Raw genomic sequence first — 27,050 nt, 5'->3', positions numbered from 1 at the left:
TCAATTATAAAAGTTAATTTATAATTTATAATTATAATTTCATTCTCCCAAAAAGCTTCTTTTAAAAAGCAGACTCCCAGTTTCGGGTTGGTATTGTCTTTAAGTCATTTATACTTTGACAGAGACAAAGTGAAACCTAATTGTTTCAAGCCATCGACACATGATCAATCAGAAAGGAAGATAAAAGATAAGATCATGGAATGTCTGAATTGTAGGATCATTTACTCATTCATTCCACTGATAATTATTGAGTGTCTACGTTGTGCCAGAATTTTCTCCGCACCTTAAAGAGGCAACCTGTGGCCTGTAGAATCGAATTATTTTTTCTAAGACATAAGTCAGGCTTTCTAAAAGGTAGCTCAGTATTTTTTCTTGTTAGAAATTATAATGTATCATTAGAAAAATAAGACTTTACTAGAATGATTAATGTGTCACTTTTATGAAGGCATGGCTTACATGCTTTCTCCTAGGCCATGCAGTACAGCAATGGATGTGATAGCATAAACAGCCAATGAGCCCTCTCTTGTGATGGAGCTCTGTCTTTAGAATCCAGGTAATTGTAGATAGAGTGTGCTGGATCTTTCCGTAGGCTCACCCTCCCTCAGCCTTGTCTGCGCCCCAGGCTCCCAGTTATGATGGAAGGTAGAAACTGACTTTCTTGTCCTTAGGATTTGGTTAGGTTCAGCCAGTGGGAGGCCCTGATTTCCCCCCTAATCTCTCCATCTCTTAGTTGGGCTCTGGGTTGGGTGTGGCTGGGTGTGACCAGGGCTTCTGCCAGGCAGCCCACTTCCGCCGCTGTTCTCTCTCCCCATATTCCCGAGCCGCTTTCCCCTCTTGCTCCTTCAGGCCTAAGATGGGAAAGGACCTCACCAGGTGCCAGATGGGAAGGCTTCATTAGCTATTGCTTGAGGTAGAATGAAGTTTTGTGGGGCATGAGGCATATGTTATTTTGAGAGTTTTCTTTAAGACAAAGAACACAAAATTCTGGCTTATAGATTTTAAGGAGAGGGCCTTGGAAGAGGCCATGTGAAAGAAGAACCCTGAAGCCTAAGGTTTTTTTTAGCCCTTCTTGGCTTCCTTAAAACCTCGCCCACACTTTGTAAATAGTCCTTCACTACTTTCCTTAATTACACAACTTGAGTGTGCTATATGTTTCCTGTGCTGGGATCCTGACTAATTCTACTGTGTGCCTAATTATGACTAACAAGTACCCCAGAAGGTTTCTCTACCTGTACTTTGAATAGTCTCCCCAACATTCTCTTTTTCTCACAAAGCTATCCGGCTGAATTAATTTGCTTTACAGTTGAGATGTATTATCCTAATTCGGCGATTTTTTTTCTTATGCATAATGTGTAATTAAAAGGAGATAGAGTAGTTTGAAATTTATAGCAAAAGTATTTCTTATTCTACCTCCTGGATTATATGCATATCCTGATTAACATAATCAAATTACTGACAAGTTAGTTCCTAACTAAAATTTAGCCAAACTGGAAAATGGAAATGTGTTCCTTGTGAAGTCATCAAATCAGTTCCTTTTTATTAACTTGTAACCCAGAAAGTACATTCCTTATGCAATTTAAAAAGAATGACTTGTGCAATAATTCATGTCAAAGATCAAGAATGGTTACTTTAAAGCACTTAAAAGCCACTGGTGAGTCTCAGAATCTAAGTACTAAAGAACCAAGGACTAAACTTCAGTTGGGTCATCCATGTATAAATGATATGATGCAGGAGATGGTGATTAAGTTGGGGGAAAGAGGGTGAAGCGGCCCTTGGAGACAACTAACACAGCCTGCCTGCCCCGACCAGGCACAGCTACAGCCAAGTCAGAGGCCCTGGGGCTGACTGGGACCCAGAAGAGAAATGAGAGCTGGAGAAGAGGAACAGACAAGCCTCTCCAACACAGCACGGACTCTAGCTAGGCTGGCTCTGAGACTTCTAGTGACCTTGAGACCTCATAACTTCAGGTCAGTTTAGCCATGTTTGTAAGTGTGGATTTAATAGTGGATTTATTTCTAGAAAATGGAACAATCTTTATCTTTCCAATTAATATACACTGCCCAGAAATGTCTTAGTTTCCTGTAGTTTCTAGTGAGAATTGTTGACTTTCTACCAACACTTTGCAAATTAAGAAGTAGATTTCACACTTCTATGATCAGAACTCAGGAATACTACTAAATGGGATCAAATCACTTATTCTCTCAAAAGTTGCACATCTATCATACAGGGTACTGAGAAATTCATGTGAAATGATACATGTGAACATCTTTTGAAAAGCACAAAGTAGCCTATGACAGTGATGGCTGGCTTTATTAACAGTGCGATATTTTGCTGATGTTTTGCTCAAGTTAAAATTATAGAAACTAAGTAAGTAACACAATGAATTTATGGTTCTCAACTGGTGAGAAGGAGATGAAAATAACAGCTTTATCAGATGTAGTTTCTAACAGAGCTAATTTGTCTGCAGAACTTGGCATATCATTGCTCATGAGCACTCATCTTTAATGTGTCATGGCTAGAATAAAGAAAACAATATAAGCCTACTCTTTTTTTAATCTCTTTTTTGCAGCTCATAAGGTATGGAGGATATGCAAACTATGCAGGGTGAACACTTTTGAATCACCCTATGTAAAACAGCACCCTCACTTTCTATGATCTATTCTCCTTTATTTTTCTTCATAGCACTTAACATTACCTGAACCATATTGCATATATATTTGTATATTTCTTTATTGCTGTGTCTGCTTACAGAACATAAGCTTCGTGAGGAACAAGAACGTTATTTTGTTCACCTGTGTCCCTACCTCTTCATCAATGCTTGGTACCAATAGGCACTTAAATATTTACCAAATGTACATATTTTCCAGAAATCCTTTATCCTCCAGCCTATCAACAATCAAGAGTCAGACAACAGTGTATCATGGAATGGACAGTGGTTTGGGGCAATCACCTATCACCGAACCTGAGTAAGCAACTTTCAGATAGAAACAAAGGCCTGTCTCTAGCCTTATTCTCTTTCTCAAATGACTCCCCAAAATCTAGTTTCTAAAATATTCCTCCTCTGGATTATTTTAAGGATAAACTGAAATGTTTGTAAAATGCCCAATACAATCTCTGGGGAAGAGAAGGGAAATGGAAAAGAAAACCATGAAATAAATACATATTTGACCCAAAAGCACAGGCAATAAAAGCACAAAGTAGACAAATGGGATTGTATCAAACTAAAAAGCTTCTGCACAGGAAGGGAAACAAAAGAGTAAAGAGAAAATCTATAGATTGGGAGAAAATATGTGCAAATCATACATTGGATAAGGGATTAATATCCAAAATATACAAGGAATTCAGACATCTCAACAGCAAAAACAATCTGATTTAAAAAATGGAAAAAGGATCTGAACTGGCATTTCATAAAAGAAGACATGCAAATAGCCAAGAGGTTTTTTTTTTTGTTTTTTTTTTTAGTGCTCAACATCACTGTTCATCAGGGAAATGAAAATGAAAATTATAATGAACTATCACTTCACACCTGTTAGAATGGCTGTGATCAAAAAGGTGAAAGATAAGTGTTGATGAGGATGTGGAGAATGGGAATTCTTATACACTGTTGGTGGGAATATAAATTAGTATAGCCATTATGGAAAATAGTGTGGAGGTTCCTCAATAAAACAAAAATAGAACTGCCAGCAATCCTGCTTCTGGGTACATACCCAAAAGAAATGAAATCAGTATGTTGAAGAGATATCTGGCCCCCTGTGTTCATTGCAGCATTATTCACAATAGCCAAGATATGGAATCAACCTAAGTGTCCACCAGTGGATGAATGGATAAAGCAAATGGGGTATATATGCACAGTGGACTATAATTCAGCCTTAAAAAAGAAGGAAATTCTGTCATTGGGAACACTATAGATGAACCTGGAGGACACTGTGCTAAGTGAAATAAGCCAGGCACAGAAGGATAAATAACACATGATCTCACTTATATTTAGATTCTTAAAAAGTCAAACTTACAGAAGTAGAGAGTAGAATAGTGGTTACCAGAGGCTGTGAGTTGGGGGAAGTTTGGAGAGATGTTGGTCAAAGGATATATGGTTTCAATTAGGAGCAATAAGTTTTCAAGATCTATTGCACAGCATGGTGACCATAGTTAATACTAATGTATTACATATTTTAAAATTGCTAAAAGGATAGATTTTAAATGTTCTCATTACAAAAAATAAGTATCTGAGGTGATGGATATGTTAATTTTCTGGATACAATAATTTCAATGTATACATCCATGTATACAACACAATGTATACAATTACAACGTATACAACAATGTATACATCAAAACATCACATTATACCCCATATATAAAATTATTTGTCAATTAAACATTTAAATTTAAATTTAAAAATTTTTAAGTAAAAAAACACACACAGGCTGGGTGCGGTGGCTCACTCCTGTAATCCCAACACTTTGGGAGGCTGAGGCAGGTGGATCACCTGAGGTCAGGAGTTCGAGACCAGCCTGGCCAACATGGTGAAACCTCATCTCTACTAAAAAAAAAAAAAAAAAAAATTAGCCGGGTGTGGTGGCCGGCACCTGTAATCCCAGCTACTTGGGAGGCTGAGGCAGGAGAATTGCTTGAACCCGGGAGGCGGAAGTTGCGGTGAGCTGAGATCACGCCACTGCACTCCAGCCTGGGAGACAGAGAGAGACTCCGTCTCAAAAAAGCAAAAAACAAACAAACAAACAAACAAACAAAAAACAAAAAACACACAAACAAAAAAAAATGCAAAAAAAATTTACATTTGAAAGTCAGAATATATGAATAACTACAATGAAAAATATATAAATTATCCTTAATTTTTTCATCCCAAAATATCATTGTTACTATTTTTTTTCTTGGCTTATTTTTCCCCAGGGCATTACACAGTATCATTTTGTATATGTTGTTTGGTATATTGTCCTTTCACTGAGTTCGTGCCAATAAATATACCTCTATATTTATTTTTTTTCTTTTTGAGACGGGTCTCACTTTTTTTGCCCAGGCTGGAGTGCAGTGGCATGATCTTGGCTCACTGCAACCTCTGCCTCCTGAGTTCAAGCAATCCTCCTGCCTCAGCCTTCTGAGTAGCTGGGATTACAGGTGCTCACCATCACGCCTGGCTAATTTTGTATTTTTAGTAGAGATGGTCATTCACCATGTTGGCCAGGCTGGTCTCAAACTCTTAACCTCAAGTTATCTGCCCACCTCAGCCTCCCAAACTGCTAGGATTACAGGTGTGACCGATATTAATATTTCTGATGGTCACATTGAATTCCATTATGCTGATATACCACAATTGCTACAGTTGTTCATTTATATTATTTTTAACGTATCACAGGCTGCAGAAAATGTATTCCTGGCTTATCTCTACCCATATCATTAATTATTTCCATAAGATACATTCCTAATGGGATTGGATCACAACCCCATTCGGGATTATGGCGTTCCGGATTGTGTCTTTAGGGACTGTGATCAAAACCTGATCAGAGAGACCAACAGGAGGAGACTTAACGGGTGGCAGCAATATTCTATTTCTTGAATTATGTCTAGTAATACAGGTGTTTGCTTTATAATTAGTCATTATTTGTATGTTCATACACTTTTCTAGTGTAAGCTATATTTTGCAAAACTAGGTAGCTTGCATTTCTTTGGTTTCTAATGGCATTGACTATGTTTTATATACCTATTGGCCTTTCAGTTTTTCCTCTTTTGTGATTTATTTCAGCTGACTTTTTTTTTTTTTTTTTTAAGACGGAGTCTCGCTCTGTAGCCCAGGCTGGAGTGCAGTGGTGTGATCTTGGCTCAATGCAACCTCTGCCTCCTGGGTTCAAGCGATTCTCATGCCTCAGCCTCCTAAGCAGCTGGGACTACAGGCGTGCGCCACCACGCCCAGCTATTTTTAATTTTTTTTTGTATTTGTAGTAGAGACAGGGTTTCACCATGTTGCCCAGGCCACTCTAGAACTCCTGAGCTTAGGCAATCTGCCCACCTCGGCCTCCCAAAGTGCTGGGATTACAGGCATGAGCCACTGCGCCCAGCCTCAGCTGACAGTTCTTAAGAACCTGCATGTGCCAAGTACTTTATAACAGTCATGTGAGGTGATAATTGTTATCTTCATTTCACATTTGAAAAAACTGCAGGGTGAAAAGGGATTTGCCAACGGTCACACATAGCTGGTGGGACTAGAAGATGCCTAGTAATGTTTGTGCTCTTTCTCTTCTTCTATTGCTTGTTCTGTTCCTTTGGGCTGTATTTGACTATCACATACACGCACACATGTGTGCACACACACGTAAACATGAACAGGGATGAACAAGGCAGGTCCCCTCAGACACAGAAAGAGCTGGAAGCAGAGCCTGCTACTAAGGGGTGCAGGGGGAAGGCCGACAGGTGTAAAAGACAGGAAATAGACCATGGAGACCAAGGAGTATGAGCCATGAAGGACAGTTCCAGGAGAGCCCAAAAAGCCACATCGAACTGCTGAACTTGGAAGCAGTTCACACTTCCTCTCGTTGGGGTGAATATATTCTATAAAATTATCCTTGTAAGGGTTTTCATGCAACATCGAATGTCTTTTCCCACTCAGTTTCTTTCTACCTTCAGGAAGACCGGCCTGATTTCCCCTCGTATGGAATTTGGTTTTATTCTTCACCCATTCCATTAGATTCTGTCTTGGGCTGGTGTCATGGGGGGTGGGGAGGGTGGCAGAGGTTAGGACTATATGTGTCAGGAGTGGGCTGATGGTGAGAAATTTCCTGCTCTTTCGGTTTTGAAAAGTGAAATATTTCATCACCCTCTTACTACAGTGTTCCTGGCAGGCAGCGGGAGCCTCAGATGCCTTCTCTCTGCCTTGGCTTGTGCCTCTGGATTGCGTTTTGCAAACACTGCTCCTGTACAGGCTTGGGGTGGACAAGCCTGTGCGCCAGGCTCTCCTGCCCTGCTCTAGTCCTGATTACACCTGGAGGCACAGGCAGCAGGTTCCTGCCCATTTCAACACTTCGAATGAAAATTAAAATGTCGTCTCACTAGCCACTACGCTGTTAGTACCTGCAGCACTTGCCATGTATCTTTATCTTGTATCACAGAGAAACTCAAGAGACAAACAACCTTCAAAATGATCAGCCTGGCCAAAATACCTCCTCCTGCCATTCTCACCAACCTAAGTTTACCTATCAATGTACATAGGCTATAGTTAATCTGCTTAGTAGATTTTTAGATATTTATAATTAGTCTCTAATAAGATGGTTGACCAAAATATCAGAAATTTCAATTAAACTTAAAATTATTTTTGAAGGTTCATAGTCATGACGCTCTTAAACCTAGATTAAAAAAAAAAATTGGCAAATTGTTTCAAAAAAGGTTTTAAGTCACGAGGTATTAATTCTGTTACGATTTCTAGGGGAAGATGAAGAGCTTATACCTTAGTGTAAAGATGATTTGTCAGTGTAGTTATTAAGCCATTGTGTCTAAAATATCAAATGATAAGGAAAGTGTTAAGTATTAAACTATTAACAAAGAAAAGGAAGGCTAATAACGCCCAACATTTAATCGGGGCTTTATACTTATGCCTCTATGACCAAACTGGTGAAGCAAAGTTTAATAGGTCTTATGTAAACTTCTTTTTCTTAAAAGTTTACAGGATTGTTATTTCTTATAATTTATTTTAATCCCAACCACTTCTTAAATAGCAGGGTTGTAAGAAGCCCAGTGTCTCCAATAAATTTTTGTGTCCAAATAAAATCTTGTTTGGGGAAAGTATGTGCAATACATAATAACTTGTTATGGGGACAGGCTGATGAGGGCAGAAGGCCGTCAACACCCACTGGGAACACATTTGAAAGATAACCTACATTTTAAAAGAATGTGTAGTAGAGTTCTAACTTTGCCTACCATTAAGAAAAATAAAAATCAATCCTTACTCTCAAAGCAATATTTCCCTACTAGTCTTTTTCCAAGGAGTTGAATATCACTTTGCCTTTGAAATTTGAAAAGGGGGCAGGGGGGAAAGTTGTTTTTTTTTTTTTTTTTTACTCAAGGAAAAAAAGGATTAAATAAGTTATTTATAGTACACTCAACAATGGGTCTATAAAATAGATGCTGTAAGAATGACTGATGGAACTAACTCAAATATATTCAATGAGAGTAGCTTGTTAATGATTACCTGTAATATTTTAAAGAACCTAGAAAAGCACAGACAGCAGCAGATCCTATACTGGACATTTTTATTTCTGCTTCGAGCCAAAGTATCCAAGGGTACTCAGCCCCCCCACTATATTCCATATATTCACAAATGCTTCAGATTTTTGAGCCCCCCCAAAACTACCAGATCTAGACAATAAATACATTGTGAAGTTACTTGATGTTATTAATAATACTATATAAGTCCAAAACAAAGTCTTAGGCAATGAAAAGGAAAAACTTCAGTTAGTTTCTTACCATAGTGTTGCTTCTTTTTTGTTTTCTATAGATACACCAAGAGAATATGGGAAGTAAAATGTAGCCGTGTGTGCATTACCATATCAATCTTCTTACTTCTCAAATTACCCTTGTCTCATCCTCCTCCTTCCAGCATACCCTGGTGAGCTCTCATCAGCTCACCTTCGGCAGTGCTGCTCTCTCCCAGAGCCAGAGCCGGCTCTCTCCCAGAGCTGAATGACAGACACTGACTGTTGATGTGAAAAGCACATTTAATAAGGGTGTGTTTGATTCAAGAGTTGAAAGTGTTAAAGAGGTGTGCCCTTTTTTGGGTGTGACACTGAACCAAAATTGCTGAAAAGACAACAGAGGAAGTAGTAGGTAGTTTGTAGAAAGTTGCCCTGCATACATTAAATTGCATGAAAAACCTGATTATAGGATTATAGGTAGATAGGAAGTAGGTAGAGAAAGAAGGATATATGGTACCTTTGATTTTCCTTCTCTGGTGAACAAGGTCAATTTTATTTAATGTTGTGTGTTTTGTTTTGCTTTATTTTAATTCCAGCTTTTATTTACTTACACTTTTTTAAAAAACAAAAATATACATTATACACTACAAACTACATCCCATGTGCCATTACAAAAATGTGTCCAAGCATGCAACATAATAATTGAAAAGGCAAAAATTATGCTCACCTCATAATACTTAAATAATGGACACCTAAATTTATCAATATAATTAGATAATTATAAGTTATCATAACATTTAGTCTATAGTTTCTACTTGCTATATGTCTTATCAGAAGTTTTCAGTACTTGATAGCAAGTTACATTCTTCCACAAAATAATGACACTACTATCAGACCTCTTAATTACTTAAGTCTTTGATGTACATCAAGAAAAAATGTTCTCCTCTTTCTTTCATCATGACCACCAGTACTAGAAACATATATTAAGCATCTGCTGGCTCATGTCAGCGTATTGTTGATGGTGAATATGCATTTGAAATGCTATTCATTTTTTTAAATTTAACTGTGGTAGAAAGCACAAAACGTAAAATGTACCATCTTAACCATTTTTAAAGTGTAGTGTTCTATAGTGTTAACTATATGTACATTGCTGTAGAATAGATCTCCAGAACTTTTTCATCTTGAAAATCTGAAATCTATAATCATCCAGAAACTCCCATTCTCCTCTGCCCACCCCCTGCCACCCCCAGCCTCTGGCAACCACAATTTTACTTTCTGACTCTGAGTTTGACTACTTTAGGTATCTCGTCTAAATGGAATCATACATTTGTTTTTGGTGACTAGCTTCTTTCATATAGCATAATGTTTTCAAGGTTATCTATGTTGTATGCATATGTATGCAGACTGACACATGCATATTTATCAGTACTTCATTCTTTTTATGGCTGAATAATATACCATTGTATGCATATACCACATATTCTTTTTTTTCCCCTTTAACTTATATTTTAACTTCCAGGGTATATGTGCAGGATGTGCAGGTTTGTTACATGGGTAAACGTATGCCATGGTGGTTAGCTGCACAGATCAACCCATCACCTAGGTATTAAGCCCAGCATCCATTAGCTATTCTTCCTGATTCTCTCCCTTCCCCTCCCCTGCTGACAGGCCCCAGTGTGTGTTGTTCCCCCACCACGTGTCCATGTGTTCTCATCCCACTTATAAGTGAGAACATGCGGTGTTTGGTTTTCTGTTCCTGCATTAGTTTGCTGAGGATAATGGCTTCCAGCTCTATCCATGTCCCTGCAAAGGACATGATCTCGTTCCTTTTATTACAGCACATATTCTTTATCCATTTATCTGTTGATGGACATTTGGTTTCTTTCCTTCTCTTGACTATTGTGAATAATGCTGCAGAGAACATGGGTGTGTAAATATCTCTTTGAGATCCTGCTCTCAATGCTTTTGGATATATACACCCTGAGACTGGTAGATTATATGGTAAGTCTAGTTTTAACTTTTTGAGGAATTGCCATACTCTTTCCTATAGTAGCTGCACCATTTTATATTCCCAGTAACAGTGCATAAGAGTTCCAGTTTCCCAACATCTTCACCAACTTATTATTTTTTGATAGTGGCCATCCTCATGGATGTGAGGTGATATCTTATTGTGATTTTAATTTGCATTTCTCTAATGATTAATAATGTTGAGCATCTTTTCTTATGCATGTTAGCCATTTATTTATCTTTGGAGAAATGTCATTCAAGTCTTTTGCCCATTTTTTAAAGATTGTTTCTGTTTTTCAGAAGGGTTATACAAAAAAGATAGTGATATCTAATTTTACAAAAATATTACAAAATCCCCCAGGCTTGGCAAGAAATGATTCATTTTTTCCTGATCTAAACTCTTCTGTAATTTTCTCTGTAAGTCTATGTAAAAGGATAAAAATAGAATAGATTAACAGGCTCTCCTAAAAGTAAAAAAAAAAAAAATTAAAAATAGAAAAAGGTTAATTTGTGAAAAGACTCAATGGTCATTTGCCTACCATGACTATATTTACAGAATGTCACACTCATGGTTACATGAGTGCTCCCGTATTTCATTTATTCATTCAACAAGCATTTATTGGTTGCCAGCTTTGCAGATTCAGGGATTAAAGGACAAGTCTCTTACATTAAGAACTCAGTTTGAGGTAAAAGGGAAGGAAGAAGGATGGATATGTGAAGACAATACAAGGGGATATTGTTATAATATTTAGAGGTATGTATATGATAAGTGCCATATGATAATAACTACCATATATGGATGGCCTGCGTAGAAGAAGCAGTGCTTTGTTGAGAAGGTGGCGTTTGAATAAATACTTAAAATACAAGCACCCTAGCTCTGGGTCGGTCCTTCCTTCCTTCCTTCCTTTCCTTCCTTCTTCCCTTCCTTCTTTCCTTCCTCTCTTCCTCCCTCCCTCCCTCTCCCACTTCCTTCCTTTCTTCAGAAGTATTATGGCTAATAGCAGATAAAACCCTTATAATCTAATACTAATCTAATTCTCTAACAATCATTCATATTATAAACATTTGTTTGGTACTATTACTTTATAAGTACTTGAAAACATAATATGAAAATAGGAATTCTTCTATTAACCCAACCTGCACAGAAAAGATATGAAACAATTAGTATCTTCTATACAGCACCTACCATGTACTCAGTATGGAATGGATAGACAACATACGACTTATTTTGACATCTAGAAGCTTATAGGCTTGTCTATAAAACAACCACTAATGTGCAGACAGACATATAATTAGTTGCTAAAGTATGTAGTTGAGATATGCGTAATGCTTTAAGAGTTCAAAGAGAAAGAGATTAGTGAGGGTGTGCAGTCAGAAGACCACAGGAAGAACACAGTACTAGCCTTAAAGGATGGATTTAATAAGATGAGGGCCAAGAAAAGGCATTCTGGGTGAGGGGAACAGACTGAGGAAAGGCAACCAAATGACACCAGGCACAGGGGTCGAACTGGAGTTATAAGGCACGAAGAAGATTGGTGGAATGAATATATGGGAGGTTGAATAAGTATGATTGATCTCGTTTGGGGAAAGCCTTGAGAGGCAAGTCAAGAAGCTTAGGTGTGATGTCATGGGAAATATGAAAACTTTTAAGGTTTCTGAGCGGGGAGGCGACATGATCTGCAGCAGTGTTGGAGAAAGGAAAGCATTGCAGCCCCTGGTGGGTCCAAGTGGATGAGGACCTAGAGTCAGCAGTTCAGACGTAAGGTGTTAAGAGGCCTGAAGTGACCACCACATATGGAAATGGAGGGAGGAAAAGAAAGAACCAAAGGAAAGCAGACACTGAGAGAGAGAGATGAATCCAAAGGAACTCCATGACGCAGAGTCTCGAGGCCTGGAAGAGCACTGGAGAGCTCCGTCGGAGGGTAGGGAGTCCAGCTTGGGTCATGTTGAACTTAGGGGAAGTTAATATTTCTCAGTGGAAATGGCCACAAACCATGTAGGTTTCACTCTCAAAGTTATGCCTCTATGCTCTATCTCAGCCCTAAGTCAGTCTCATAGTAGATCACAATTTGGTAGGAAAAAATATAAGCTCCAGTTTGTAAATGGCATTATTAACTCTGTTATAGGGCAATGTTCCCTGTAAAAGACAAAAGACACATCTACCTGCCTTCAGCCTCCATCAGCATTTTCCAGTTTTTGATCAGGAGTCAGTCCTTTTGCATGCAGCCTCCACACAGGTGGCTCATGCTGAGGAGCCTTTGTACTGAGACCTTCATTAATAAGCATACGCAATAACTGCTCTGACACGACTTGTGAGTATTTCATCATTTTGTTTAAATAAAGTGTTTGAAAAAAGGGTAATGCTTTGTGGTTATCATAATGAATGAAATAAATATAGCAAGCCTGTAGTTTTGTTTTTAAACAAACCAATGAAATTCTCTTGCAAGAGGAGGCTTCGTTAAATTAATATCACACAGCAATTAGAGGAAGACCTGCCAGTTTTAGTTACTTTCCAGCCTTAATCAAGATATTATACTATATCATGAGGACACATTTTTTTGAAGTACAAGTTGAAAAATGATCAAGTGCTCATCAAGAGCAACAGGCCTTTTCACAGAGTGTGAGAAAGGGAATGGGAATTTGGCACACCTTCTACTTTCTGCTCCCTTAGCCAAATTTGCCAGGGGTCAATTCTAGCTTGAGGACTTTCCTCACATGCTCATTCTTTCTGTGAATCTGTATTCCTGCTCCTGACTCTATGACTGAGTTCTGCAATGCACAGAGGTGGGGCTAAATGCAAAGGAAAGCAAAATTGCCAGCACCTGATGTTCCTCCCACATTTGCTAGCCCTGCCCTTCCATATCATATTGGAAAAAAATTCATATAAACATATTTCAGCTACGAGTCACAGATGATGTACATGTGGATAAATGTAGAGAAAGTGTTCATAGGGCCCTACAAATCTTCTGAGTGTAAAAAATATGACATTTCTGAAAGATATAATCTTTAATTCACTATCCTTTATTTTAATCTCCTCAATCTATTTTATTAGGTTTCGATTAGTTCCTCTTTCATAGCCTACCTGGTGAACTGCTCCCCCCTAAACTAAGCTACAGAATTTTCTTTCTGTCCTTATTCCTTTAGCAAACCTCATGCCAGGCAAGCCTGGCTTAAAGATGGTTATGCCACAGTTGTTGCTTCCCCAAAGGGGAAATGCAGGGGAAACAGCCTGCATTCACACCAGGGTGAAGGAGGGATTCTCCTGGCTCTTTTAAGAAGCCAACAGCATTACATCACTCCAGCTTTGTAGATATATTTCACTAAACAGTAGGTAGACATTCTGAGAGGGAAATGACAACTGTAATGTGGACTAAGGACTCCCCTCTTTGGTTGGCTTTTCATGCCCTGCTGGAGTCATGAGTCTCTCCGTAGAAGACAAATTCTTCCTATAGTTCTTTATGTTTCTTCACCTATGCACATTTTAGACATTTTAGGCATTTAATCTCTGTTTCTCCAGATATTAATGAACAAACTCAATGCATCATTTACAGAGGATAATTTTGTGTTCTTATTTCTGGATAAAATAAAATGAACAGAAACTACAACCAAACTAAAATGATTCACAATTATCAATGTTTTCATTTTCTTTCTTTTTTTTTTTTTTTTTTTTGGACACAGAGTCTGTCACCCAGGCTGGAGTGCAGTGGCACAATCTTGTTTCACTGCATCAACATCCTGAGTAGCTGGGATTACAGGTGCATACTACCGCCCCCGGCTAATTTTTTTTTTTTTTGTATTTTTAGTAGAGACAGGGTTTCACCATGTTGGCCAGGCTGGTCTCAAACTCCTGACCTCAGGTGATCCACCCTCCTCGGCCTCCCAAAGTGCTGGGATTACATAGGTGAGCCACTGTGCCTGGCCAATGTTTTCTTTTTCAATCTACCAAAAAAATGACAAGGGAATTATATCTTTTCCTATATATTATATAAAGACTTTTACATTAAAAATAGTAATTGATTTTTTTCTATTTTGAAGCAATTTTTGGTCTTGTGACACAATCAAATCAACATTTTATCAAGACCTTGGCCCACTGAGAGTGACATCAGCAAGATGGCCAACTAGAGTTGCCTGGCTTTCATCCCCCTAACCCAAAGAAACCAAAACAATGAATAAACGGCTATATTCTGACTGGAGTGACTGAGGAAGTTGCTGGATAGCACCAGGAAAACCACAAAACCCCTGTGGATCACAGAAGCCTAGGACAGCTCACTCCATAGAAAGGGGAGTAAGGAATCCTGCCTCTGCCACACTGTCTCCTTGCTGGGATCAGGTCAGAGCTGGAGAGACCTTTCTTATGAGAAAAAGTAAGCTGCAGACCCTTGGCAGTCTCCACACTGCCACAGACTCTAGTAGTCATTGCTGCAGGAAGGCCCTAAGTCCAGTGTGAACAGTTGCTGGGAGTCTAAACAGCTGCGTTTGCATTTCCCAGAGCAAGAACTCCCTTGACACCTCCCATCCCCAGGATCTAAGCCACTACAGCACAACACCATCTTGAAACTGGACCCATATTTGGAGTGTACACTGCCTTCCACCAATCCATCCCTGACACCTTGCTTTCATTACACTAAATTCCCACAGGTGCCTACAATACCAGTACCCCAGCTACCCAGAACCTAGGCCCAAAGGAACAACTGGGACACCCACGCCAAAATTCATGAGGCACCTTATCACCCAGGGACACAAGCCAACTGTGCAGCAGTGGGAAGTCCATGAGCAGATATCAGGCCCACAGGCACCCACCCCCCTGCCTGACAGTTGGCCTAAAGTCAGCCCACCCCACCAGAGAGAGCTGCGTATAGCCTCTGGCCTGCAAGCACCTGCCCCAGGATTGACAACTGGTAAGGTGGCACCACCCCACCATAGAAGGTTACCAGCAGCAGCTACCCACATGTGCCTGCCCTTGGCCTTATAGCCAGCCCCACCTCACCAGAGAGAGTTGTGCACAACTGTTGGACATTTACCCAACCCTGGTTTGACAGCCAGCTTGGAGATGGCCCTGCACCACAGGAAGGGATCTTGTGCAGCAACCAGGCCATTTATGTCTTCCCTGGCCTGAGAGCAAGCCTGGAGGGGACCCTACACCACTGGAGAGAATGCCCACTCAGCTGCCTAACCTATACGCATCTGACCCAGACCTGACAGATAGCACAGTGGTGACCATGCCATTAAGGAGAGCCCACCACATAATCTGCTGGCCTGCCACATCTGCACATGTCCAGCAAACAACCAGCTTAGTGCCCCTGACCCCTGCAAAACCATACCACCACAGTCATAGACTGCAGTCTGGGACACTGAGCTAATCACAGGCATTGCAGGTAAGGATCACAGCTGAAGAATCTTTATGAAGACCACACTACTGAGTCTACTCACCCAGAACCAAAGTCAATGCACCATTCCCAACCAACACCCTAGACCCAGGTATAGGAAAAAGCCTCTTCCTATAGAAGCCACTCCATAAAATTGGAAAAAGCCACTGTATTACCAGATGGACAGATATCAATGTAGGGACACAAGAAGAAAAAAGCAAGAAAAGATGACACCTCCCCCAAAACACAATAAGTCTCCATTAACAGATCCTCCCAAAAATGATATTTATGAAATCCCTGAAAAAGAATTCAAAATGATGATCTTAAGGAAACTCAGTGAAATATAAGAATACAGACAATTCAATGAAAGCAGGAAATCAATTCATAATCTGTATGAGAAATTCAACAAAAAGATAGATATCATAAAAAAGAACCAAACAGAAATCTTGGAGCTGAAGAATTCAATGAACAAAATACAGTGAATAAAAAATACAGTAAACGTGGCTTCTGTTGAGGAATAAATAAACAAAAATAAAAAATACCATTGAGAGCTTCAACAACAGACTAGAAAGAGAAATAAAAGAACTTCTCAGACAAGCAAAAACTGAGAGAACTCATCACCAGTAGACCAGGCTTACAAAAATTGCTTAAAGGAATTTTACAATAGGAAAACAAATGGGTGATAATTAATATCATAAAAACACATGGAAGTACAAAACTCACCAATATAGGTAAATCCATAACCATGCTCAGAATACCCCAGTGCTGTAATGGTACCATGTAAATTCTTCAATTTAAAGTCAAAAAGGTAAAAAACATCAATAGTTAAGTGGCTAAAGAACACATAAAAGATAAAGATGTAAATTAAGCAACCAAAATGCAAAAAGGTTGGGGAGGAGCCTAGAGTATTTGTATGGAACCAAAGTTAAGTTGTTAACAGCTTAAAATAGTCTATTATAATTACAAGACTTGTTTTGTTAACCCCACGGTAATCACACACACACAAATTTCAATAGATACACAAACAACAAAGAGAAAGGAAACAAAGGTTGGTACTACAGAAAACCACCAAGTCACAGAGGTAAACAACAAAAAGAGAAAGAAAAGAATAAACAATCTACAAAAAAACCAGAAATCAATTAACAAAATGGCAGGAGTAAGTCCTTACCTATCAATAACAACCTTGAATGTAAATGGATTAAATTCTCCAGTTAAAAGATATAGAGTGACTGAATGGATAAAAAACAAGACCCAACTATAAGAGATGAACCTCACCATTAAAGGCAAACATATACTGAAAATAAAAGGATGGAAAAAGATTCCATGCAAATGGAAACCAAAAGTGAACAAGAGTAGCCATACTTATATCAGATAAATTACACTTTAAGTCAAAAACTGTGAAAGGAGGGAAAGATCATTATATAATGATAAAGGGACTGAGTCAACAAGAAGCTGTAACTATTGTAAATATATATATATCCAATACCAGAGCAAATATATAAAGCAAAGATTATTAGCTCTAAAGGAGAGATTGCAATACAGTAATCATAGTGGGCTTCAACACTACACTTTCAACAACGGACAGACCATCTAGACAGAAAAATCAACAAACTATGTCATAGACCAAATTGACCTAACAGACACTTACAGAACATTCCATCCAATAGCTGCAAAATACACATTCTTCTCAACCACACATAGAATATTCTTCAGGATAGATCTTCACATGTAAAGCCACAAAACAGGCCTTGAAAAATTTAAGAAGATAGAATATCTTTTCAGACCACAATGATATAAAACTAGAAATTAAGAAGAAAAACTTTGGAAACCTCAAAAATACATGAAAATTAAATAATATGTTCTTTGATAATCAATGGGTCAATGAAGAAATTAAGAAGGAAATTTAAAAGTTTCTTGAGACAAATGAGGATGGAAGCAGATCAAAGCAAAACCTGTGGGACACAACGAAAGCAGTTCTAAAAGGGAAGTTCATAGCAACAAACACCTACAACAAAAAAGAGGAAAGATTTCTAATAAATAACCTAACCATGTACCCCAGTGAACTAGAAGAACAGAACAAAATAAACCCAAAATTGGTAGAAGAAAGGAAATGAAGGCAGCATTACCCTGATTCAAAAACCAGACAAAAACACTGCAAAAAAAGTAAACTGCAGGTCAGTATCCCTGATGAATGCACATGCAAAAATTCTCAACAAGGTATTTGCAAACCAAATTCAACAGCAATTAAAAATATCATCCACTATGATCAAGTGGATTCATCCCAGGGATGCAAGGATAGTTCAACATACACAAATCAATAAATGCAACACACCACATTAACAAAAAGACAAAAACCATTTCAAGAGATTTAGAAAAAGCAGTTGATAAATTTAACATCCCTTCATGATACAAACTCTTAACAAATTAGATATAGAAGGTATGTACTGCAACACAATAAAGGCCATATATTACAAACCCACAGTTGACATCATACTGAATGTATGAAACAGTGATCACAAATAAGACAAGGGTGCCTACTTTCACCACTCTTACTGAACATAATACTGGAAGTCCTAGCTAGAGCAATTAGACAAGAGAAAGAAATACATCTAAATTGGAAAGGAGGAAGCTAAATTGTCTTTGTTTACAGATGATGTGATCTTATATTTAGAAAACCCTAATGAATCCACCAAAAAAACCTGTTAGAACTAATTATCTAATTCAGTAAAGTCATGGAACACAAAATCAACATAGAAAAATCAGTAGCATTTCTATTTAATATATGCCAACAGCAAGCTATCTGGAAAAGAAATCAAGAAAACAATTCTGTTTATAATAGCTACAAAAAATTAAGATATCTAGGAATAAATTTAACCAAGGAAGTAAAATCTCTCCACTGAAAACTATAAAACTTTGATTAAAGAAATTGAAGAAGAACACAAATGGAAATGGAAAGCTATCTTCTGTCCATGGATTGGAAGAAATAATATTGTTAAAATGGGCATACTACCCAAAGCAATCTACAGATTTAATGCAATCACTATTAAAATACCAATGACATTCACAGAAATAGAAAAAGAAATCCCCCCCACCTTTTTTTTTAAATAGGGTCTTGCTCTTTTGCCCAGGCTGGGGTACAGTAGCTCCATCATAGCTCACTGCAGGCTTGAACTGCTGGTCTCAAGCAATCCTCCTACCTCAGCCTCCTGAGTGGCCGGAACCAGAGGAACATACCACCACATCCAGCTAATATTTTTTTTTTCCATATTGTAGAGATGGGATGTCACTACATTGCCTAGGCTGGACTCAAACTCTAGGGCTCAAGTGATCCTCCCGTCTTGGCTTCCCAAAGTTCTAGGATTACAGTTATGAGCCACCACACCCAGCCAGAAAAAAAAAATTCTACAATTCATATGGAACCACAAAAGAACCTGAGTAGCCAAAGTAATCCTGAGCAAGGAGGACAAAGCTGGGCCAGGTGCTGTGGCTCACACCTGTAATCCCCAGACTTTGGGAGGCTAAGGCAGGAAGATCGCTCAAGGCCAGGAGTTTGAGACCAGCCTGGGCAACATGGCAAGACCCTGTCTCTACAAAAAAGAAAAAAATTAGCTGGGTGTGGGTGGGCACATGCCTATAGCTCCAGTTACTCGGGAGGCTGAGGTTGGAGGATTGCTTGAGGCTGAGGCTGGAGGATTGCTTGAGCCTGAGAGTTTGAGGCTACAGGGAGCTATGATCACGCTACTGCACTCTAGCCTGGGTGGCAAAGTGACACCTTGCCTCTAAACAAACAAACAAAGAACAAAGCTGGAGGCATCGCACTACCTGACTTCAAAATACAATACAAGGCTATGGTAGACAAAATAGCATGGTATTGGCATAAAAAATGACACATAAACCAATGGAACAAAATATAGTGCCCCCCCAAAATTTGTGCACTTATAGCCAACTGATTCTCAATAAAGGTGACAAGAACACACATTTGGAAAAAGTCTCTTCAATAAATGGTGCTGGAAAAATTGAACAGCCACATACAGAAAAATGAGACTAGATTCCTACCTCTCACAATATGCAAAAATCAACTCAAAATGGATTAGAGACTTAAATGTAAAACCCAAAACTATGAACCTACTAGAAGAAAATGTAGAGGAAATGCTTTACATCAGGCTGGGCAGAGATTTTTTTAAATAAGATTTGTAAAATACAAAACTTAACAACCAATAAACAAATCACCTGATTTTAAAATGGGCAAAAGACCTTAATAGGCATTTCTCAAAAGAAGACATACAAATGGCCAACAGGTTTATGAAAAAATGTTCAACATTGCTATTCATCAGAGAAATAGAAATCAAAACCACAATGAGTTATCACCTTATTCCAGTTGGAATGGCTATCATCAAAAAGATAAAAGAAAACAAGTGTTGTCAAGAATGTGGAGAAAAGGGAACACTTACACCCTGTTGATGGGATTATAAATTAGTACAGCCACTATGGAAAACAATATAGAGATTCCTCAAAAAGTTAAAAATAGAACTACCATATGATCCAGCAATCCCATTGCTGGGTATGTATTCCAAAGGAAATGAAATTGGTATCTGCACTCCCATGTTTATTGTAGCACTATTCACAACAGCCAAAATATGGAATCAATTCAATTGTCCAACAATAAATAAGTAGATAAAGAAAATGTTTTATATATATATCTATATATATATACACACACACACACACACACACAATGGAATACTATGCAGGCATAAAAAGAATGAAATCCTGTCATTTGAGGCAATATGGATGGACCCAGAAGATATCATATTAAGTGAAATAAGCCAAGTGCCAGGACAAATATCACATGACCTCACTTATATGGGAATCTAAAACAAACAAACAAAGAAGAGTAGATAACATAGAAGCAGAGAGTAGAACAGTGGCTGACAGAGATTGGAGGATTGGAGGTGAATGGGAAGAGGCTGGTCAACAGGTACAAAGTGACAATTAGATAGAAAGAGTAAGTTCTGATTTTCTATAACATCACAGTAAGGTGATGTTAACAGTAAGGTACTGTATATTACAAAATAGCTAGAAGAGAGGCTTTTGAATGTTCTCACCACAAAGAAATGATAAATGCATGAGGTGATGAATATGCTAAATACTCTGATTTGATTAGTATACAGCATACATTGAAACATCAAATTATACCCCATAAATATGTACAATTACAAGATGTCAATTAAAAAAATTTAAAGACTGTTGGCCCAAAAATATTTGTGGTAGGAAGAATTCTTTTTTTATTTTTACTTTTTTATGATTATTATTTTTTGAGATGGAGTCTCGCTCTGTCGCCCAGGCTGCAGTGCAGTGGCACGATTTCAGCTCACTGCAACCTCTGTCTCCCCGGTTCATGCCATTCTACTGCCTCAGCCTCCCAAGTAGCTGGGAATACAGGTGCCCGCCACCACGCCCAGCTAATTTTTTGTATTTTTAGTAGAGACGGGGTTTCACGGTGTTAGCCAGGATGGTCTCGATCTCCTGACCTTGTGATTCACCCCCCTCGGCCTCCCAAAGTGCTGGGATTATAGGCGTGAGCCACCATGCCTGGCCAGAAGAATTCTAAGATGACTCCCAGATTCCTGCTCTCTGGTGTACTTTCCCTGTGTAATTCCATCCCTTTACAGGACCTGTGAATAGGATGGATGACACTCCCATAATCAGATTACATTCCACTGCAAAGGTGTAGGGATTTTTGCAGATGAAATTATTCCCTAATGAGTTGACTTGGAGTACTCAAAAGGGAGATTATCCTGAGTAGGCCTGACCTAATTAGGTGAGCCCTTTGAAAGAGGTGAAGATTTGAAGCATCACAGGTTGTCTCTCTCAATGGCCTTCAAGAAGCAAGTTGCTATGAGTTCTACAACTTCAAGGAGATGAATTCTGCCAACAACTACGTGAGGTTGGAAGAGGACCCCAAGCCTCAGATGAAACTGCAGCCCCAGCTGACACCTTGACTGAAGCCTTGCAAGACCCTGTGCAGAGGACACAGCGAAAGTACACTAGACAGCAGGAACCTGGGAGTGTATCACGCACATAAATACCTGACTGGGAGAGAACGTGTATCAGTCAGGTCCTGTAAGTAAGAAAGTACAGAAATGGGTTGATCTGATGACAGTCTAATAAAGGGGCAAACGTGTGCACAAGACTTGGGGAACCCCCATGAGTAGTATCCTATCCCAGGACTAATGGCAGGCATGAAGGACAGGGAGAGAGCAGCTCCCAGGACAGGTACAGAGAGGGCTGTGCTGCAAGGACCCTGATGGGCCTGAGGGATAGGCCGGCCTTCAGTGGCCCCACAGGGAGGGAACCAGGAGTATGAATACCCCAGCCTCATTTCCCTCCCTTTTTCTTATCTCCTGCCAGGACTTCCCTTTGTTTGACCCCCAACAGGAAGCCTGCCGATCAATGAGAGAGAACTGGTTGATGCAGTCCATCTAGGACACAGTAGGATGCAGAAGGGTGGAGAGGGACGGAAGAACAAACAGAGGGTCTCCAGGAGAGAAGGTAAAGATATCGAGAGGGCTTCTCCCTCTCTTTCAGAGAGAGGAGATGCAGATGAGATTAGGGAAAGGAAGGGCTGAGACCTCAGTCACCATGAAGACCAGCATGGGGTGGCAAGTGTACCTTATCTACCTCTCATGATTTAATTCTATGGCTGGTAAGGTTTGGTAGTTGTTCTCTTTATAAATTTAGTTTGTCAGAATGACAGTAAGCTAAACTTTCACCTCCATTGGAGCAGCCAATTTTTTCTTTTCTTAAGACAGAGTCTCGGCCGGGCGCGGTGGCTCACGCCTGTAATCCCAGCACTTTGGGAGGCCGAGGCGGGCGGATCACGAGGTCAAGAGATCGAGACCATCCCGGCTAAAACGGTGAAACCCCGTCTCTACTAAAAATACAAAAAAATTAGCCGGGCGTGGTGGCGGGCGCCTGTAGTCCCAGCTACTTGGGAGGCTGAGGCAGGAGAATGGCGTGAACCCGGGAGGCGGAGCTTGCAGTGAGCCGAGATCCCGCCACTGCACTCCAGCCTGGGCGACAGAGCGAGACTCCGTCTAAAAAAAAAAAAAAAAAAAAAAAAGACAGAGTCTCACTCTGTCACCCAGGCTGGAGTGCAGTGGCATGATCTCAGCTCACTGCAACCTCCGCCTCCCAGGTTCAAGCGCTTCTCATGTCTCAGCCTTCCAAGCAGCTGGATTACAGGCATGCACCACCCTTCCTGGCTAAGTTTTGTGCTTTTAGTAGAGACAGGGCTTTGTCATGTTGGCCAGGCTGGTCTCAAACTACTGGCCTCAAGTGATCCACCCGCCTCAGCCTCCCAACATGCTGGGATTATAGGCGTGAGCTACCATGCAGAGGTGCCAAATTTTTTTTTTTCTTTTTGAGATGGAGTCTTGCTCTGTCACCCAGGCTGGAGTGCAGTGGTGCGATCTCAGCTCACTGCAACCTCCGCCTCCCGGGTTCAAGTGATTCTCCTGCCTCAGCCTGCTAAGTAGCTGGGACTACAGGTGCATGCCACCATGCCTGGCTAAATTTTTTTTTTTTTTTTTCAGTAGAGAAAAAAATACCGTGTTAGCCTGGATGGTCTCAATCTCCTGACGTCGTGATCTGCCTGCCTCGGCCTCCCAAAGTGCTGGGATTACAGGTGTGAGCCACCGCGCCCGGCCCACAATTTCTTTTAATATCCAAATCCTCTAAACTTCAGGCTACAGTGTGCAATCCTAACTTAGTCACAGGGCCAGCCAGCATCACTTTTCCCTATCATACTGCATCACTTTTATGGCCTGCATCACTTTTCCCTATCATACTGTGCCTAACCAGAACCACATAGCACTGGGCTTATGAACTTCATACTTAAGTCTTGACAATCAGTTCTGCAATTAATGTCTCCCCTGGCATCATGTCACTGAGAAACAGACTGTATTTCTAGCAAAAATGGTGGTGGCCCCTATCTCACCCCACATACAAAAAATAACTCAAAATGGATCAGAGACCTAAATGGAGGAGCTAAAACTATAAATAAAACAGAAGAAAACAGAGTTTTAATCTTTGTGACTTTGAATTTAACAATGGCTTCTTATGACACCTAAAGTACAACCAACCTGAAAAAAAAATAGATAAGTTAGATTTCATCTAAATTAAAAACTTTTGTGCTTCTAAGGACACTTTCAAGAAAATGCAAAGAGAATCCACAGAATGGAGGAAAATATTTGCAAATCATATATCTGATAGGGGTCTAGCATACAGAACTTTTACAGTTCAGCAATTAAAATACAAATAACCCTAATTAAAAATAAGCAAATAATTTCAATAGACATTTCTCCAAAGAAGATATACAAATAGCCAACAAGCATATAAAAAGATGCTCAATATCCCTAATCATTACAGAAATGCAAATCAAAACCACAATGAGATACTATTTCACACCCACTAGGATGGCTAAAATAAAAAAGACAACGAGTGTTGGTGAGGATGTAGGGAAAAAGGAACCCTTATACATTACTGGTGGGATTGTTAAATGATGCAGTCGCTTTGGAAAACAGTTTGGCCATTTCTCAAAATGTTAAATGTAGAATTGCCATACGATCCAGTTTTATGAGCTAATGTTTGTGTCACTCCAAAATTCTTATATTGAAGGCTTAACTCCCAGTGGGATGCTGTTTGGAGGTGGGGCCTTTGGGAGGTAATTAGGTTTGGAATAGGTCATGAGGGTTGTGCCCTTGTGATGGGACTGTAAGAAATAAATATCTGTTGTATAAGCCACTCAGCCTATGGTATTTTGCCATAGCAGCCCAAGCTAAGACACCCAGAAATTCCATTCTTAAATGTATACTCAAGAGAATTGAAAATATATGTCCATACAAAAACTTGTACATAAATGTTCGTAGCAGAATTATTCATAACAGTCAAAAATGGAAACAACCCGCATGTTCATCAACTAATGAATAAAAGGTGGCATTTTTTGGCAATAAAAAGGAATAAAGTACTGATACATGCTACAACATGGAAGAACCTTGAAAATGTTATACTAAGTGAAAGAAGCCAGACGCAAAAAGCTACACATTGTATAATTCCACTCAGAACCAGTGGAAGCCCTGAGTTTCTTTTCCTGCAACTAGACGGTCCCAGCTGGGGGTGATGGACAGTGGCAGATCATCAGACATTAGATTCTCTTAAGGAGCATGCAATCTAGATCCCTTGCACACACAGTTCACAACAGGGTTTGTGCTCCTATGAGAATCTAATGCCGCCACTGATCTGACAGGAGGTGGAGCTCCGGTGGTAATGCAAGTGATGGGGAATGGCTGTAAATACAGATGAAGCTTTGCTTGCATGCCCATCGCTCACCTCCTGCTGTGCAGCCCAGTTCCTAACAGGTCATGGACTGGTATTGGTCTATGGTCCAGGGGTCGGGGGCCCCTGATCTATGGCTCTGTGGTTGGTTTTCAAAGTAGAAGGTATGTGGCACTTACATGTGTTGTATAAAAATGGTATGTTGGGATACAAAATACCTTCGATGTGGACACACTTTCCATTGATTTGTGTGCTGCCAAATGTCACACTGTCTTTAGCAGGTGTGTAAGAGGAACAACCCAAACCTTCAGGCATTGTCCCACATGACAATTACTTTCAGCATAAGATTTTATAATTCAGTATATGCATCAGTTTCTAGATTGTAGCTGTCATCAGTCTGAGCCCAAACCAGAGCTTAACTCGCTTTGATTACAAACATAATTGGAATTAAGGTTTACAAGAAGAGATAAGATAGATCTAATCTTCAAACAAAAGGATAATACATACACACTCATTATTTTCTTTTTAATTTTTGTGCACCCTCATTATTGAACAGCTTTGATGTGGTGCGCGGATATAACCCAACAGGGTTGAAGGATACGAGGGATTATCCTGAAATCTTCCAAACCCAAAGGAGCAGTGGTGGAAACCAACATCCCTCCCCTAGCTGATCTCACCCACTCACATCCCAGCTTAGGGGCACAGTCTGGCACTTGTACTGACATTTGGCTCCTTGCCAGGGAGAACAACAGCCGTGCCCTCCTCCTTTGTACAGGGACAGGAACTTCTGCTGAGCTTTTCTCTGCCCTGTGGCAATGGAACTGGCGCCTTGGCACATGCCTCCAAAGCAGTCACAGCTCCGTGCTCCAGATCTTTCCATGGTGTGAGATCCTTTACACAGGAAGAAAACCTTCACACCCACTTCTGATGAACCCCACAAAAATGGTTCCTTCTCAGACTGAGAAACAGAGAGATAATTCAGGAAAACCTGGGTAGAAAGTCATTTGCCAACAGGGCAAGAGTCTGAAAGAAGAGTATGGGGCCACGAACGGAACCGTTGTCCATGGGTCTCCTTTTTTTTCTTCTTTGGCTATTTGGTCACAGCTCAGATCACCAGGGGTAACTCAGAGAGAGATGTTTTGCTAGGAGTTTTCTAAGGCTCAAATACATGAAGTTTAATTTGAAATAGTAATAGATAATTCATTAACTATGGGCTGAAGACCAACCTCAGTTTGTTAACTAAGATGAAGTAGACTGAATAAAACTATACTTAAAAACCCTGATGCATTGCTTCAGCTAAGCATGAAATTTTAGTCCCAGCAGAATTTTCCCCCACTAAACATCCTTTAAATGGATATTAACTATCTACTGAAAGCACAAAGCAAACGTAAGAACCACTTCCTTCATGTCTCTAAACTTCCTCTTCTGCCTCTAAACCTCCTCTTTCTGTACTTTTCTGTAGAACATTCCTCCTTAAAAGTATGTACCCCATACAGACTAAATATTTAATATATTTATCTTTAGTAAAATGCAAATAGGATGAAACAATGATTAAAACAACGTCATCTTTGTGGCTTTGGAATTACAATGGGACGAATACCAAAACACATCACCAAAACAGCTGAACTGATCTTGAAAAAGAAATGTTGGGTTCACATAATTATGCCTACAGCTCTGTATGCTAGGATGCCTTCCTAAATATTTTCTGGGGGTCCAATAATAATAACAATACCAAATACTTATGGTAGGTGGTATTTTAAGTACTTTACATGTAATAAACACATGTATCCTCACAATGACCTGATGAGGTAGATGAGTAAACTGAAGCACAGCAAGGTTTAGCAACTAGTCCAAGGTCACACAGCTATCAAGTGGCAGTGCTAGGATTTGAACCTGAGCAGATATGACTTTAAAATCTATGCTT

General features: G+C 39.6%; 1 protein-coding gene and 1 long non-coding RNA gene across 3 annotated transcripts in view; one reads left to right on the top strand and one right to left on the bottom strand.

The window, feature by feature from the left end:
• Positions 1-27,050, bottom strand: part of CRYBG1 (crystallin beta-gamma domain containing 1) — a 211,301-nt gene that overhangs the window by 68,136 nt on the left and 116,115 nt on the right. The gene's annotated exons all lie outside the window — the stretch shown is intronic.
• On the top strand, positions 1,661-12,637 carry LOC101927405 (uncharacterized). The gene is made up of 3 exons (XR_245566.4): positions 1,661-1,967; positions 2,868-2,966; positions 12,551-12,637. It is a non-coding gene; the product is annotated as an uncharacterized LOC101927405 (long non-coding RNA).

The sequence above is a fragment of the Homo sapiens genome, chromosome 6 (assembly GCF_000001405.40).
Source record: "Homo sapiens chromosome 6, GRCh38.p14 Primary Assembly".
NCBI classification, from domain to species: domain Eukaryota; kingdom Metazoa; phylum Chordata; class Mammalia; order Primates; family Hominidae; genus Homo; species Homo sapiens.
This window is presented reverse-complemented; position numbering and strand designations above follow the sequence as displayed.